This window comes from Homo sapiens, chromosome X (genome assembly GCF_000001405.40).
Source record: "Homo sapiens chromosome X, GRCh38.p14 Primary Assembly".
Taxonomy (NCBI): Eukaryota; Metazoa; Chordata; class Mammalia; order Primates; family Hominidae; genus Homo; species Homo sapiens.
The window spans coordinates 2,550,623-2,567,933 of record NC_000023.11 but is presented as its reverse complement, the minus strand read 5'-3'; the positions used below and the strand labels follow the sequence as shown (position 1 = coordinate 2,567,933).

General features: G+C 44.8%; 1 long non-coding RNA gene across 5 annotated transcripts in view; it reads left to right on the top strand.

The window, feature by feature from the left end:
* The window catches only part of LINC03112 (long intergenic non-protein coding RNA 3112), a 43,139-nt gene extending 41,234 nt beyond the window's left edge, over positions 1 to 1,905 (top strand). For all 5 annotated transcript variants that reach the window (XR_001755779.3, XR_001755778.2, XR_001755777.2 and 2 more), the window contains one exon: positions 642 to 1,905. This is a non-coding gene — a long non-coding RNA (long intergenic non-protein coding RNA 3112). The remainder of the gene's footprint in view (positions 1 to 641) is intronic.
* The last annotated feature ends 15,406 nt before the right edge of the window (positions 1,906 to 17,311 follow it).

Sequence of the window (17,311 nt, the reverse complement as noted above, 5' to 3'; positions counted from 1 at the left end):
TTCTTATTTTCTTGTACTACAAGATGGTCCAGGCCTATCTGTATCACCCAAGCTCCGTTCTTAGAATTAACCATTATTCCAGAGAGCCCTGGTTCTTTTTTTTGAACATGATACTAGGAACCAAAGTGCTGGGTGAAATGACTTCTCAGTAGCATTAAAGAGATGTACTGGCTGGATGCCGTGGCTCATGCCTGTCAGCACAGCACTTCGGGAGGCTGAGGTGGAAGGATTACTTGAGTGCAAGAGTTCAAGACCAGCCTGGGAAACTTAATGAGACAAAAAAAAAAAAAATTAAAAATTATCTGCTTGGTGGCACACACTTGTAGCGTTAACCACTCAGGAGACTGAGATAAAAGAATTGCTTAAGCCCAGGCGTTTAAGATGACAGTCAGCTATGGTTGCGCCAGTGTGCTCCAGCCTAAGCAACAGAGCCAGGCCCCATCTCTAAAAAAGATTAAAAAGTGCAAGGGTTTGAGATTACAGTCAGCTGTGATTGCACCTCTGCACTCCAGCTTGGGTAACAGAGCCAGACCCCGTCTCTAAAGAGAGCAGGAGGCGGCGGTGGGGGGTAACCCTTCATCAGATTACCATTGATTTTTTTTTTCTTACTCTTTTTTTTCCTTCTCTTTGCATCTGCTTAGGGCCCCTAAAGTGATGGAGTGGCTGTGGAGTCTTCAGTTTGCCTGCATGCCAGGTGCAAGCCAAGGAGTTGTAAGAGCATCCCCCTCATAAGCTACCAGTAGGCCAGGACTCCAGTGTGGAGGGATGGATCTCTGAAGGTCACAGCTTGGCCCTTCTCTGAAGAACGTCCACCAGCATGTCAGCCCAGCTGCACTGCAGGAGTGAAGGGTGAGATGACTGTCAATAAGGATAAAGGCCATCTTCCCCACCCGTCACTCATCCTGCCAAGCCATCACTGGGTAACCAGGACTCATGGGCAGTGTCACCTCTGGGGCCATGCTGGCATCTGTAACCTCCATCCATCCTTGTGGTCCCATCCAGCCATCTCTGCCCCCTTGCCTGGCCCATTCTGTTGTGAAGTTTTCGTCCACCTTGCTCTTGTGCAGAGTCGGAATTCACAGGGGTTCCAATGCCCAAGGGAAGCCCATTGGAACTGTTTACTCTTATTACTGGCTAGAGACGTCCACAGGACAAATCAGCTTCAGATTATACCATCGTTAGAGTAGGTGCAACTGGGGGGCTTGCCCTACTTAACTCTCCAATGCAATCCATGCTGCCAGCTTCATACAGACTCCATCCAGTGCAAATGGCTTCCTTCTGTGTGCAGAGCAAATGCTCCAGGGAAGAGATACAGAGGATTCCCCATCATCATTGTTGCCAAGTGACCCCAAATATTCCTATCCTGTCTGTTGTAAAAAGGAAAAATCATGTCTTGGAAGAACAGCATCGCCCTACAGATACAGACTAGGCACTTTGCACATGAAACAAGAGTCCCAGAAATTTCTAGAAGCAAATCTCGCATTCGTGACCGCCAGACCTACGGGATGTGTAAGGCACATTCTCAATCTCATCACTTGTGAGAGTTGCATTGCCTAGTCCAGCAGCCGTGAAGGACTCTCTGCTGTTTTTCCTCTGCTTCATTTGACACATGAGAGAGAAGAGATGAAGATGGAGGCGGGCCCTGCCCCGGGGACATGTATATCTCTCTGAATGTCCTTGACAGACAGCAGCAGCCCAGCAATGCCCAGCCCCCATCCTGTCTGTATGCACCCTGGTGAGCATTTTCTACAGTCTCCTAAACGCTCCCATTATTCTGTTTTGCAGGTGTGATGTGTGGCACCTCAGTGTTGTCATAGCTTCTGCCTCCTCCGTGTGGAGAGAGGGCATAAAGACAGAGCTGAGATATTATGGCTATTCCAGAAAATAAAATATTTTTTGAAACCACATGGCTCAGGTGCACCTCTTTGTGTCATTGTGAAAACAGAACCCTAGCCTGTATACCGTTAGCTTGGTAGCACTTGGATAACAGACAGAGTATTCACTGGCCCTGCAGAGGAGCATGGGTGGAAACGAATTTATCGGCTGATGTTGGCACAGTTTGCTGTTGGTGCATTACTATTATTATTACTATTATTATTATTGTTAGACGGAGTCTCACTCTGTCGTCCAGGCTGGAGTACAGTGGCACGATCTCCGCTCACCACAACCTCCGCCTCCCGGGTTCAAGCAATTCTCCTGCCTCAGCCTCCCAAGTAGCTGGGATTACAGGTGCCCACCACCACGCCTGGCTAATTTTTTGTATTTTTAGTAGAGATAGGGTTTCACCATGTTGGTCAGGCTGGTCTCGAACTCCTGACCTCAGCTGATCTGCCTGCCTCGGCCTCCCAAAGTGCTGGGATGACAGGAGTGAGCCACCGCGCCCGGCCTCTCGGTGCATTCTATAGAATGAGATGCCTCTCACGTGGTCTCCTTAGCTGTGGGAAGGGATGCTTTCTATTAAAACAACAACAACAAAAAGCGGCTGGCAAAGCTCGCATGATGATTTTAACAATTGAGCTATTCTATAGTCATTTTCCTAAAGGAGGTCTGGGTTCTCTGTGTCTCGGAAAAACTCAGGAAGGCTCCTCACCCTCTGCACAGGGGAACACAGCACTCCACCCTCGCTGGTCTCAGCTTTCACTGGGCAGGCGCTCGACGTGCCAGTCAGACCACTAGGCAGAAAAAACTGCTGTAAGATTCACACAAGTACCTCACCGACCCCAGAACAGGGTCAAAAGCTAAGAAACAAAGTTTGAAAAGGCATATTTCATAAGTACAATTTTAATTGTATTTATGATTTAAAAAGAACATGTTTTTCTTTTTCTTTTTTTTTTTGAGTCAGAGTCTCGCTCTGTCGCCCAGGCTGGAGTGCAGTGGCGCGATCTCGGCTCACTGCAACCTCCACCTCCTTGGGTTCAGGTGATTCTCTTGCCTCAGCCTCCTGAGTAGCTGGGATTACAGGCTTACGCCACCATACCTGTCTAATTTTGTATTTTTTTTTTTTTTAGTAGAGACGGGGTTTCAGCATGTTGGCCAGGTTGGTCTCGAACTCCTGACCTCAGGTAATCTGCCCACCTCGGCCTCCCGAAGTGCTGGGATGACAGGCGTGAGCCACCGCATCCCATCAACTCATGTCTTAATACACGTATTTTATTATTAGCCCCAAGAAGGAAAATGTGGCAGACACATGGCTAAGGGTTAGTTTTCATATCTACATGGCTAACAAGATGGCTGGGTGTTTGAGGGAGCTGTGAGGAGGGTACATTCCTCTGGGAAGGGACCTTTATAATCTTGGGGTGACAGATGGCATAAGATAATTTTTGTTCATCTAAGAGAATGTGGGAAGATCATCAAGAAATGGCTGAGACTCGGTGCAGTGGCTCATGCCTATAATACCAACACTTTGGGAGGCCATGGAGGGAGGATTCTTCGAGCCCAGGAATTCAAGACCAGCCTGGGCAACATAGTGAAACCCCATCTCTACCAAAAATTTAAAAAATTGCCCAGCGCAGTGGCTCATGCCTGTCATCCCAGCAGTTTGGGAGGCCTAGGCGGGTGGATTGCCTGAGGTCAGGAGTTCAAGACCAGCCTGGCCAACATGGAGAAACCCCATCTCTACTAAAAATATAAAAATTTGCCAGGTGTGGTGGCAGACGTCTGTAATCCCAGCTACTCAGGAGGCTGAGGCAGGAGAATCGCTTGAACTGGGGAGGCGGAGGTTGCAGTGAGCTGAGATCACGCCACTGCACTCCAACCTGGGCAACAGAGCGAGACTGCATCTCAAAAAAAAAAAAAAAAATTAAAAAAATTAGCCAGGCATGGTGGTGTGCACCTGTAGTCCCAGTAACGCAGGAGGCCAAGGTGGGAGGATTACTTTAGCCTGGGAGGTCAAGGCTGCAGTGAACTATGATTGCAACACACACTGCACTGCAGCCTGGGTGACAAAATTTTAAAAAAAGGAAATAAAAGTGGCGGGCTTGGTGGTAGTATGGGGGCCCAAGCATTGGTGGGGAGAGCACTAGAGGAAGGCAGAGCTTCCCGACGGGTTGACGGAGCATTGTCATAAGACACAGGCAGACTCATGGGTGCGTACCCTACATTCAACATTGTGTACAGACTTGATCTCTCTACTGCTTGTCCTTAGGTATAAAAGAAGGGGAGAAGCCCCTCTTAATGGAAGGAGTCAGGGTCCCCCCAGTACGAAGGTCTGGACAAAGAACATAGTCTGGATCTAGAATCAGGTTGCTTTGGCTTAAAGCCCAGTTTGGGCATACAATTGTAACACAACCTGAGCCAATTCCTTAACCTTTGCCTACCTAAGGTGCCCCAGTTTGAAAAACAATGATAACGATAATATAATGCCTACCACAACACAGTATTTCTACATGCATATCACACAGAAATATGTTAATACGGACCGGGCGCGGTGGCTCACACTTGTAATCCCAGAACTTTCGGAGGCTGAGGCGGGCAGATCACTTGAGATCAGGGGTTTGAGACCAGCGTGGCCAACATGGTGAAACCTCATCTCTACTAAAAATACGACAACAACAAAAAATGTAGCCAGGCATGGTGGCACACGCCTGTAATCCCAGCTACTTGGGAGGCTGAGGCAGGAGAATCTCTTGAACCCGGGAGGCAGAGGTTTCAGTGAGCCGAGGTCGTGCCATTGCACTCCAGCCTGGGCAACAGATTGAGACTCTGTCTTAAAAATAATAATAATAATAAAGAAATATATTAATACATGCAGAATTTGTTTAAAATTTTCTAGCACAGTATAAGCCCAGGATACTCACAGCCATTACTGTTACCATTATTCTGAATATTTTAAATTCACCAAAGAACAAAATGAGAAAAAGTAGATGTGTGTGAACTTAAGTGTGAATCGTGTTGAATTAAGTGGGCAGGATTCTGTAATTAAGCCACAGCTGCAACTTCATCCTTGAATACTAGCTAACAAGATAAGAATTGACACTCCTCTTTAAAAAGTTTATTTTCTTTTTTGAAAAGGGCCTTGAACTTTCTCTAAAACTCTGAATGGCAAAGGTATTTCCTTTTCATTAAAAAGATTCTGTTGAAGATTGAAGTTGTGTTTTTGGCAGCAGCTGTGAAAAGATGGTGTGATGGTTAATACTGAGTGTCAACTTGATTAGATTGAACGATGCAAAGTATTGATCCTGAGTGTGTCTGTGAGGGTGTTGCCAAGGGAGATTAACATTTGAGTCCGTGGGCTGGGAAAGGCAAACCCCGCACCCCGCTTCATCAGCGTGTGCACCATCTCATCAGCAACCAATTTGGCTAGAATATAAGCAGGCAGAAAAATGTGCAGAGAGACTGGCCTAGCCTCCCAGACTGCATCTTTCTCCCGTGCTGGATGCTTCCTGCCCTTGAACATTGGACTCCAGGTTCTTCAGTTATCAGACTGGCTTCCTTGCTGCTCAGCCTGCAGACAGCTTATTGTGTGACCTTGTAATCGTGTGAGTTAATATATAATAAACTCCCCTTTATGTATGTATATATATATATATATAGAGAGAGAGAGAGAGAGAATATATACATATATTCTGTACAGACGGGAAGACAGGTGTATTTGAGATTGACCTGAAAACTCCGAATATGAATGAAAACCGGGCACATTTAAAAAGAAAAGTCATGCATGGGTTATCAGGGGTTTGCTGAAACCCCTATCGTGTCTATGAGCAGCTCTGATGAGACACACTGATTTGGGTATCTCAGATGTACTAAGTATACTGGCTACAGTGGACTCAGCACCCTTCCTATAATTTGCAGATATGATCATAGCAAAAAGAAATTGTTAATGTAATTATTGTTAATAGCTGTTTCATGCCCTATTGGGAGTTTGGAGAAAATGTTTAAAATTAAGTATTTTTGGATAATACTTTTATTTATTTATTTATTTATTTATTTATTATTTTGAGACAAGGTCAGACTCTGTCACCCACGCTGGAATGACATCATAGCTCACTTCATTGTTGACCTCCTGGGCTCAAGCAATCCTCCCACGTCAGCCTCCTGAGTAGCTGGGACTACAGGCACATACCTCCGTGACTGGCTAATTTTTTAAAGATATTTTGAGAGATGGGGTCTTGCTATGTTGCCCAAGCTGGTTTCAAACTTCGGGGCTCAAGTGATCCTCCCACCTCAGCCTCCCAAAGTGCTGGGATTGCAGGTGTAAGCCACCGCACCCAGCTGAGAAAACTTAGAGTGTTGTGAAAAAATAGAAGGGCACCATGGGAACGTGCGCCCTGCTTACTCTGGAAATGAGGAAGTAGAGAGCTCCATTTCCTACCGTCAATTCTAAGAGAGTAAAACAAGGCATCGATCTGGCATAAGCGCTTTCACAGAGCACAGTGTCTGTGGCAACATCATGTTGTAACATGATGTTAAATACAAATGTGTCATTGCAGGCCAGTCATGGTGGCTCACACCTGTCATCCTAGCACTTTGGGAGGCTGAGGCAGGCAGATCACCTGAGGTCAGGGGTTTGAGACCATCCTGGCCAACATGGTGAAACCCCGTCTCTACTAAAAATACAAAAATTAGCAGGGCATGGTGGCAGGTGCCTGTAATCCCAGCTACTCGGGAGGCTGAGGCAAGAGAATCGCTTGAACCCAGGAGGCAGAGGCTGCAGTGAGCCGAGATGGTGCCACTGCACTGCAGCCTGGGTGACAGAGTGAGACTTGTCTCAAAAAAAAAAAAAAAGTATATATATATATATACACATACACACACAAACAAACACACACACACATATAGTGATTGCCACAGTGTAAGAGTCAGTGTTCCCAGGATAAATATAATTTCATTTAATCATCAGCAAGCCTGTGAACCTGCTTGGTAATAACCCCTACCCCTATTCTCACTTGCATTTGGATTTGTTTCATTCATTGGCTGAATGGAGACAGCTTATTTTTCTTCCTGCGTGTTATACAGGGTTATTCATCTTCCACATTGTGGTTGACACCCCTGTGTTTTTATGACATGTCTTATTCCAGATAACTTTGGACTCCTGTTTCTTTTATTGGAAGAGATGTAAATTCAAAAGTAAGGTCACTTACTTTTAAGCGATACACAAATGGACAGGGTTTGCGGTCGGGAAATGACTGACCTCATTTTTTTGAGCCACGGAAGAGGACTGTCCTGAAGCACATTTGAAGAGGCACATTTAATGATCACTCTCTGAATTGTAGTAGCATCCCTTTAGCTCTCCCTACGCCACTGAGACCCAGATTTTCTCACGTCATTCTCGCAGCCATCCTGTCCTCTGCTTTAAAGATGTGACGGGGAGCAGAGAAGTTGAGTTACATGAACAAGGTAACACAGCTGGTCCCTGAGGCTGCTGAGAACAGCACACCTGCTTAGAACTACTGTATGAGACCACCCATTTTGCACCCCCTGGGACCACCAATCGACATGAAAGGTGGAGAGGAGTTGGCATTAAGCCATGAAGTTGAGAATCTTCCATCTGTCCATCCAACCATCTATGCGATTATTTATCTATCCATACATATATTCATCTATTTTTCCATCTGTAATCCATCCAACCAAGTATCTATCCAACTATCTATGCATCCATTCACCCATGCAGTCTGTCCATCTATCATCCCTTTATCTCTCCATATAACCATCTATCCAACTATCTATCCGCCCATTCGTCCAATCAACTATCCAACTATTTATCTGCCCATCATCCATCTACCCATTTATCAGCCCATCCATCATCCATATATCCATCCATTCATCTCTCCCTATAACCATCTATTCAACTATCTATCCATCCATTCATTCAATCAACTAACCAATTATGTATCTACCCATTCATCCATCCACCCATCCATCTGTCCATCCATCATCCATATATACATCCATCCATCTCTCTATATAACATCTATCTGACTATCTATCCATCCATTCATCCAATCAACTATCCAACTACCTAGCTACCCACTTATCCATTTACCCATCTATCTGTCCATCCATTAATCCACCTAATAATTCATCCATCTATGCACCCAACTTTCTATCCAGTTATCCATTCATCCACTTACCCCGCCCATCCATCCATCTATTTGTCTATCTACCTATTACTTTCTGAGACCAAATGTTGGGACCCATATATATGCAGGCCTACTCCAATATCTGGCACAGTCTAGGTCATTAATATTCATTAAATGAATGCAAGCACCCATGAATGAATGAATTGACTTTGTCTGGATCATCCTAGAGAATCTTTGCAGGGATATTCCATTCTTGCCATGGAATAAATTCAAGGAAAGAGAACAATTGGTTGGAGGAAGCCTGAGTTCCCCATTTCATTGGGAGAATTGCATTCCCCTGGAGACAGAGCCAAACTCATGATGCAAAAAGATCATAAAACACATTCTGTGAAATCTACATGAACCTCTTTACAGTTTCCTCTGCTTAACTATTCGTTCCAGCCAGAGGGGAAAAAAACAATTAGATTCCAAAGAGTTTTCATGACTTTATATATTAAACGTTGGCCATGTGTAATTGCAAAATGGATGCAAAAGCTATGGTTCATAAATAACACTAAAAAGAGGCACTGTATTCTCCTGATGGTTCAGGAAATTGGAAACGACAGGTTGCAATACTGAGTATTACTCACTGTTTAATCTCAGTCTAGTTTCCAACAATTGCAACACACTCTACACCAGAAATTTGGAAAATAAAGGAATAATGTTTATACTGTAGTGTTGACAAATGTTTGGATGGGTCTGGAGTACTTTATATGCTAACTATTGCTCATTACATGGTCCCTGGAAGATCTCATGTAATTTTTTAAAGAAATAAAATAGATCTTAATATTAATATCTTTGATTTTAGAATGTCCACCTTAATGCATTTTTTGCCAGTGCCAGTAAGTTTAAATAGCCAATTACCCTGGGTGAAATTAATCATTTCATACCACTGAGACAGAAGGATGTTGAAAAGATGGTAAAGGGTGACATTTTAGCATCTAGATGCTAGATAATTTCAGCATCACTTATTATCATCAGCAAGCACTGACCTTCAGACTTTTCTTTTTAAACCTGAGCCCCCAAGCCCTCTGGGCAAATGCACTTTTCTCAACAAAGAATGGAGCTACCCTCTCTTATCCTCCAGAGAAGTGCATGGGGAGCTCCCACACACCAACTTTGTCTCTACGAACAACGAGTTCTAAAGGCATCAACTTAGCAAGACTCCCTTTTTTGTTTCTTTCTTGGTTTTGGAAATGGTCCCTCTGTGTAGCCCAGGCTGGAGTGTAGTGGCACAATCGCAGCTCACTGCGGACTCAACCTGCTGGGCTCCAGCGATGCTTTCATCTCAGCCACCAAGCCTGGGGGCTCAGCAAAGTTTTCTTTTCTTTTCTTCTTTTTTTCTTTTCTTTTCTTTCTTTCTTTTCTTTCTTCCTTTCTTTTTTTTTCTCTCTCTCTCTCCTTCCTTTCCTTCCTTCCTTCTTTCTCTCTCTCTTTCTTTCTCTCTTTCTCTCTTCCTTTCTTTCTTTTTTTGAGACAGGGTTTTGCCATGTTGTCCAGGCTGGTCTTTAACTCCTGGGCTCAAGCAATCCTCCTGTCTCAGCCTCCCATAGTGTTGGGATTACAGGCATGAGCCACCGTGCCCAGCCAAGACTCCTTTGTCCCTGGGCGACAAGAGCCATTTCTGCTTCAGGGACCAACCTCACATCAGCAGTAGAGGAAGATGCTACCACAGAACATGAATCCAGCCAGGTAGCCATCATTTTAGTTGTTTCTACTAGTACTGATGCATTTGAGTTGATCCATCTGGGGCATTTACTTTGTTTTTCTTGTGATAAATTGCCTGGACCCATGCAATTCCTGCTAAGGGTCAAGAAAGTGGCCATCCCAAGTTCCATGCCTACCTACTGAGTTTAAGCCAACCCAGGGACCCCTAGGTTGCACTCTGCTACCATTTCTAGCCCAGGTCGTTTTCTGTAGTGAGTTTATGCAGGGCATCACCTATATACATAAACCTATATACACCTGTGTTGTAAAACCTCAAGACACAATATATGGTCCATGGATGAGCAGTATCACCATTGCCCAGGACTTAGACACATAGAATGTGAAGCCCCACCCAGATCCACTGAAACAGAATCTGCCTTGTAGCAGAACCCCAAGAAATTCACACACATGATAGACTAGGAATCACCATGTACCTGAGAGGACAAAACAAAATTAGGTAAAAGCATGCTGCTTTCCTGTGAAGATATCCATGCAGACTTTTTAAGGACAACCAAAACCCATCATTATCTTCTCTGCCCAAGACCACTTTGGGAATTTTGGAGAAGAAAGAATAAAGGCAGAAATGAGGATACAGAAAGCATGTCACTTGAAGATCAAGAAGTCAAGCTTGGATGCCAATGGTAAAGTGGTAAGCCTACTGGTTTTGATCTTGGGCATGGAATGAGTTTGCCAGACCTCAACTCTGAAGACGGCTCTAGAAGGACCTAGACTTGCTACAGAAGGAGTATTCCAAGTAGAATGAGAAGTTTGGGTAATGTATGCCACAAGACATTGGTCATTTGCAGAGTGGAGATAATCATTAAGTACTTGGCTCTCAACTACCCTTGATTATCCCAACTAGTCAGGAACTCAGCTACCAGTGATATGGAAATTTCCAACCCTAACCCCAATGGCAGCTGCATGTTTAAATCCAGTAGACAGGTGTTGTAAACGCTTTCCCTCACCAAGTACAACCTGAGTCTTCCATCCTAGACTGAATGCATTACCTAATCTGCAATACTTTGTATTCGTAATTACGTTTATGCCTGACACAGGAGTAGGTAAGATCAGAGGCTTGATTTTGTGGCTGGAATGTAAATTAAGTAGTCATTGAGCCTGTTGGAGAAAAAAACATCTAATTTGGAAGTAATGAGTGTGATGAATGAACACAGCTGTAGAGAGTCGATTCTAGGTGAGTATGGGGTTGGCTTGGTTACTTTGCTATGGAGCCTTGGAAGTTCTGTTTTTTTGGCTTGCAGATTTATAGAAGTTCTAGTCTAAGATGCAATGTGGGAAATATAATTTCATGTCATGACTGACATTGGCCTCCCATGAGTTAGAGAAACGTGTGTTTAAAGGGATAATCTGATTTTGGAAAATAATATTCAAATGCCATCATGTTTTCATGTTGATCCCTCTCCACACTGGCTCAGCGGTCTCTTAGTAAAAACAATTTCCTGCCGAGCACAGTGGCTGACGACTGTAATCCCAGCACTTTGGGAGGCTTAGGTGGGCGGATCACCTGAGGTTGGGAGTTCGAGATCAGACTGGCCAACATGGAGAAACCCCATCTCTACTAAAAATACAAAAATTAGCCGGGTATGGTGGTGCATGCCTGTAATCCCAGCTACTCAGGAGGCTGAGGCAGGAGAGTCACTTGAACCCTGGAGGTGGGGGCTGTGGTGAGCCAAGATCGCGCCATTGCACTCCAGCCTGGGTGACAAGAGCGAAACTCCATCTAAAAAAAAAAAAATCAATTTCCTGCTGATATTAATGATGTTAAGCCATTAAAATACATGTAAAGGTGAAAGACTGGTAACTGTGATTTGAAAATGGAAAGACATTGACAGCTAGACAGATCAAAATAAAGGCTTTGCTTCAGAGAGCCAGAAGAGAAAGTTTTCTGACCCTTATCTTAATTTTGTCAAATCAGATATGTCTGGCTCATGGTTCCATAGCTTAAGGATGTTATGAAGCCATTTTGAGTGGCTGACTGTATTAGCCTGTTCCCGTTACTTGAATACCATAGATCTGATGTAGGATGGATTACCCCTACAATACAGATGTAGGACCCAAGGACCTAGAGGCAAGGTCCATTGTCCAGTGTAATGAGCTAACCAATGGTAGTTCTGGGACCACATACTTATGTCCCCTCACCCTAAACCCAATACTCTTTCCTCTTCTGGTAGAAAAAGTGATGGCCCCAGTGATGTCCATGTCCTCATCCGCATGTGGTAGACAACATAATGGCTCCAGAGATGTCAACATCCTAATCCTAATGTGGTAGACAGAATAATGACCCCCAAAATGTCCATGTCCTAATCTCCATGTAGTAGACAGGTGATGGCCCCAAAGATGTCCACGTCCTAATCCCCATGTGGTAGACAGAATAATGTCCCCCAAAGATGTCCACATTCTAATCCCCATGTGGTAGAAAGAATAATGTCCCCCAAAGAGGTCCACATTCTAATCCCCATGTGGTAGACAGAATAATGACACCCAAAGAGGTCCATGTCCTAATCCCCATGTGGGAGACAGAATAATGACCCCCAAAGATGTCCATGTCCTAATCCCCATGTGGGAGACAGAATAATGGCCCCAAAGATGTCCACATCCTAATCTCCATGTGATAGACAGAATAATGGCCCCAATGACGCCCACATCCTAATCCCTGAAATCTGTGAATATGTGACCTTATATGGCAAAAGTGACTTTGCAAAAGTGATTAAGGATTTTAAGATGAGAGGATTATCCTGGATCATAATGAGGGTATCTCAATGTCATCACAAGCACCCTTATACCGGAAAGAGGACGCACGAGGGTCAGAGTCAGACAAGGAGATGTGGGGATAGAAACAGAGGTCTGAGAGGAGGGAAATGTGCTGATGTCTTTAAGGTAGAGGAAGGGGCTACAAGCCAAGGCATGGCAAAACAGCCTCTACAAGCTTCAAAAGGAAAGGGAGTAGGTTCTGCTCTGGAGACTCCAGAAGGAATCAGCTCTGACAACAACTGGGTGTTAGCCCAGCAATACTAATTTCAGGCTTCTGAACTCCAGAATCAGAAGACACTACATTTCTGTTCTTTTAAAGCCACAAAATTGGTGGTGATTTGTTATGGCAACCGGAGAAGACAAAAATGCACATCTTTTACAAAATGACAGTGATGTGGTTTGGCTGTGTCCCCACCCAAATCTTAACTTGAATTCTATCTCCCAGAATTCCCACATGTTGTGGGAGGGACCCAGGGGCAGTAATTGAATCATGGGGGAATGGTCTTTCCCATGCTATTCTTGTGATAGTGAATACGCCTCACAAGATCTGATGGGTTTATCAGGGGTTTCGGCTTTTGCTTCTTCCTCACTTTTCTCTTGCCCCCGCCATGTAAGAAGTGCCTTTTGCCTCCCGCCATGATTCTGAGGCCTCCCCAGCCATGTGGAACTGTAAGTCCAATTAAACCTCTTTTTCTTCCCAGTCTCGAGTATGTCTTTATCAGCAGCATAAATACAGACTAATACAGGCAGTGTCAGAGGGTGTTTGAACCATAGCAACTCCATCTTGAATAGGGGCTGGGTAAAACAAGGCTGAGACCTACTGGGCTGTATTCTTGGGAGGTTAGGCATTCTAAGACACAGGATGAGATAGGAAGGCAACACAAGCTACAGGTCACAAAGACCTAGCTGATAAAACAGGTTGGAGTAAAGAAGCTGGCCAAACCCCACCAAAACCAAGATGGTGATGAGAGTGACCTCTGGTCATCCTCACTGCTACACTCCCACCAAGCACCACGACAGTTTACTAATGCCATGGCAACATCAGGAAATTACCCTCTATGGTCTAAAAACAGGAGGCATGAATAATTCACCTCTCGTTTAGCATATCATCAAGAAACAACCATAACAATGGCCCACCAGCAGCCTTCAGGGCTGCTCTGCATGTGGACTAGCCATTCTTTTATTCCTCTACTTTCTTTTCTTTGTTTGTTTTGAGACGGAGTCTCACTCTGTCACCAGGCTGGAGTGCAGTGGCCAGATCTCGGCTCACTGCAACCTCCGCCTCCAGGTTCAAGTGATTCTCCTGCCTCAGCTTCCCGAGTAGCTGGGATTACAGGTGCGCACCACCACGCCCAGCTACTTTTTGTATTTTTAGTAGAGACGGGGTTTCGCCATGTTGGCCAGGATGGTCTCTGTCTCTTGACCTCGTGATCTGCCCGCCTCAGCCTCCCAAAGTGCTGGGATTACCGGCGTGAGCCATCACACCAGCCAGTTTTTATCTCTTTAAGTGTCTTTATTTCCCCAGCATTTCTTAGGTCTGGCATCTCTGGAAACCTCAATGGCAGATTCTGAACTCATTCATAAAGAACCAGGACTTTGTCAACTTCCTGGAAAACACTGATGGTTTTCCTCAGTTACTTTATAATTAGGCATAAGCAGGTGTGCCACTCTTCCCTGTTAACTGGAACTGCACCTATGTCCTGACAAGTAAAATGATTCGAAAACTAATAATTGGAGTTTTGCCTTGGCTGAAGTCTAAAATCCTCAGAGTGTGCAGTCAGTTCTCAAATTTGTGCAGGTGTGGTGGCTCACACCTGTAATCCCAGCACTTTGGGAGGCCGAGGCGGGAGGATCACTTGAGGTCAGGAGTTTGAGACCATTCTGGCCAACATGGCGAAGCCTCATCCCTATTAAAAATACAAAAATTAGCCAGGAGTGTTGGTGGGCACCTGTAATCCCAGCTACTTGGGAGGCTGAGGCAGGAGAATTGCTTGAACCCAGGAGACGGAGGTTCCAGTGAGCCCAGATCGTGCCACAGCACTCCAGCTTGGGTGACAGAGCGAGACGCCATCTCAAAAAACAAAACAAAACAACTCAAAAAAAAGAAACGCACTTGTTGAGAAAACATGACAAACTCAGATAACACAGCACTTAGCATGTGAAAATTTTCACCCACACGTGCATGAAACATAAATCTTGTGTTTCCATGGAGGGTGCATGGCACATTTATACTGCACCATTCAACTTCCTTTGAAAAGGCATCCGACTCTTGTCCAAAGTTGTTGTAACTAGTAAATTTTATCTGACTGGGATTATTGAACAAATGCTTCAGTGACTTTCGGACTTTTAAGGTTCTAGTCCCTGGAATCCCATGTGATTGAAATGTTAATAACTGACTTTAGCAAAAACAGTTCTGTGGTTAAAGAATTTTGGGCACGCGGACCACAGTACCCACAGTATCTCTCCTGGGAGATTTAATTGCCCTTCAGCAAACAAAAGACTGAGAAATCTTGCTGAAAAGAACCGCTCAACTCTGAGAAGCTCAGTCTTTTCCACATTTTTTCCCCCTGAATTTAGAGCCTCTTTTTTTCCCCAGGCACTTTTATTAGCATTCCAAGACATTTGTGTTGGAAAGAATTGCCCAATATAGTTCAGAAAATATTTAGCTACACAATAGAGAGAAAGAAACATCTGGCAGTTCCCATGGAGGGATGTGTTGCGGAAGGCACTGTTGATGGTGGTGGTGAACGTGAGTGTTTTCTTCTAGGTTTCATCTTGGGTCATGCAGCTGACCCCATCTATAATTGCAGCTCGTGCTAAAAACACTCCTAGGCTGAGTGCTCCATACACTTGCATTTATTTATTTTTATTTTTTAAAGACAGAGTTCTGCTCTGTCACCCAGGCTAGAGTGCAGTGGTGCAATCACAGCTCACTGCAGCCTTGACCTGCTGGTCTCAAGCAATCCTCCTACCTCAGCCTCCCCAGTAGCTGGGAATACAGGTGCATCCTACCACATCCAGCTAATTTTTTTTTTTTCTTTTGTAGAGATGGGATCTCACCATGTTGCCCAGGCTGGTCTCCAACTCCTGGTCTCAAGGGATCCTAAACCTTGGCCTCCGAAAATGCTAGGATTACAGGTGGGAGCCACTGTGCCCGGCCGTACTTGTACTTTTATTTACAAAAGCCACATGAGACAGCTGTCAAGTAAATATGTTAAAATAGCTCATGGAACATGGTTTTTGTAACTTCCTGAAAGTTCTACACATTTCTAAAATATTTAAGCAAGTGATACTGGGCCAGGCTCGGTGGCTCACACCTGTAATCCCAGTACTTTGGGAGGCGGAGGGGGGCGGATCACCTGAGCTGAGGAGTTTGAGACCAGCCTGACCAACATGGTGAAACCCCATCTCTACTAAAATGCAAAAGTTAGCCAGACATGGTGGCAGGCGCCTGTAATCCCAGCTACTCAGGAGGCTAAGGCAGGAGAATCACTTCAACCCAGGAGGCGGAGGTTGCAGTGAGCTGACATGGTGCCAGTGCACTCCAGACTGGGGGACAGAGCCAGACTCCATCTGAAAAAAGAAAAAGAAAAAAAAAGTGATGCCGAAACATCTTTCTCTTTTTAAAGCATGATATTTACCATGCACTTAACAGTGAGTTCACGCAATTCATGTGACCCATATGTGTTGGAACCGTGGAAACACAATATGTTTTCTGATTTTATTTGTTTACAATATTGTACAGTCTCTCATTCCCTAAATAAAAATAAGTGCCTTAAAAAGAATCTTGCTGGCCAGGCGCAGTGGCTTACGCCTGTAATCCCAGCACTTTGGGAGGCCGAGGCGGGCAGATCACCTGAGGTTGGGAGTTCGAGACCAGCCCGACCAACATGAAGAAACCCCGTCTCTACTAAAAATACAAAATTAGCCGGGCGTGGTGGCACATGCCTGTAATCACAGCTACTTGGGAAGGCTGAGGCAGGAGAATCGCTTGAACCCGGGAGGCGGAGGTTGCCGTGAGCCGAGATCGCATCATTGCACTCCAGCCTGGGCAACACGAGCAAAACTCCATCTCAAAAAAAAAAAAAAAAAAATCTTGCTAGGTACTGTGGCTCACACCTGTAATCCGAGTACTTTGCAAGCAGAGGTAGGAGGATCACTGGAGCCCAGAATTTCAGCACCAGCCTGCGCAACATAGTGAGACCTCATCTCTACCAAAAAATACAAAAATTACCTAGGTGTGGTGGCACACACCTGTCATCCTAGCTACTTGGGAGGCTGAGGTGCGAGGATCACCTGAGCCTGTGAAGTCGAAGTTGCAGTGAGCCATGATCACACCACTGCATTCCAGGTCTCCAGCCTGGGTAACAGAGGGAGACCCAGCCACAAAAAAAAAAAAAATTTTTTTTGCACAAACTTTTACGATGACTCTGCTCTATAATTAAAAGTAATTTCTGCTTTGTTGGTGTTTTCTCACACATTTATCTGGTTGACCAGATATCTGCATATGATAGAGTAAGAATGACCCATTTCCCTCCAGGGAGAATAGCATTGCAAGGGGGTTGAGGATGCATGCGTGTGGAATCCAAACATTGAATGCACTGAGACGGTGCTGCATGAAGCCTGCCTGTGAGTTTATGATGAAGCTGCACATAGATTCCTACCTGGCTCTCACTCCTCTCTCTGACCCTTTGGCTTCGGTTTAATTGCATGCACATCCTTCAAAGCTGCTCGGGGCCACCACTTCTTCAGACTTCTGGCATTTTTCCAAGAAACAC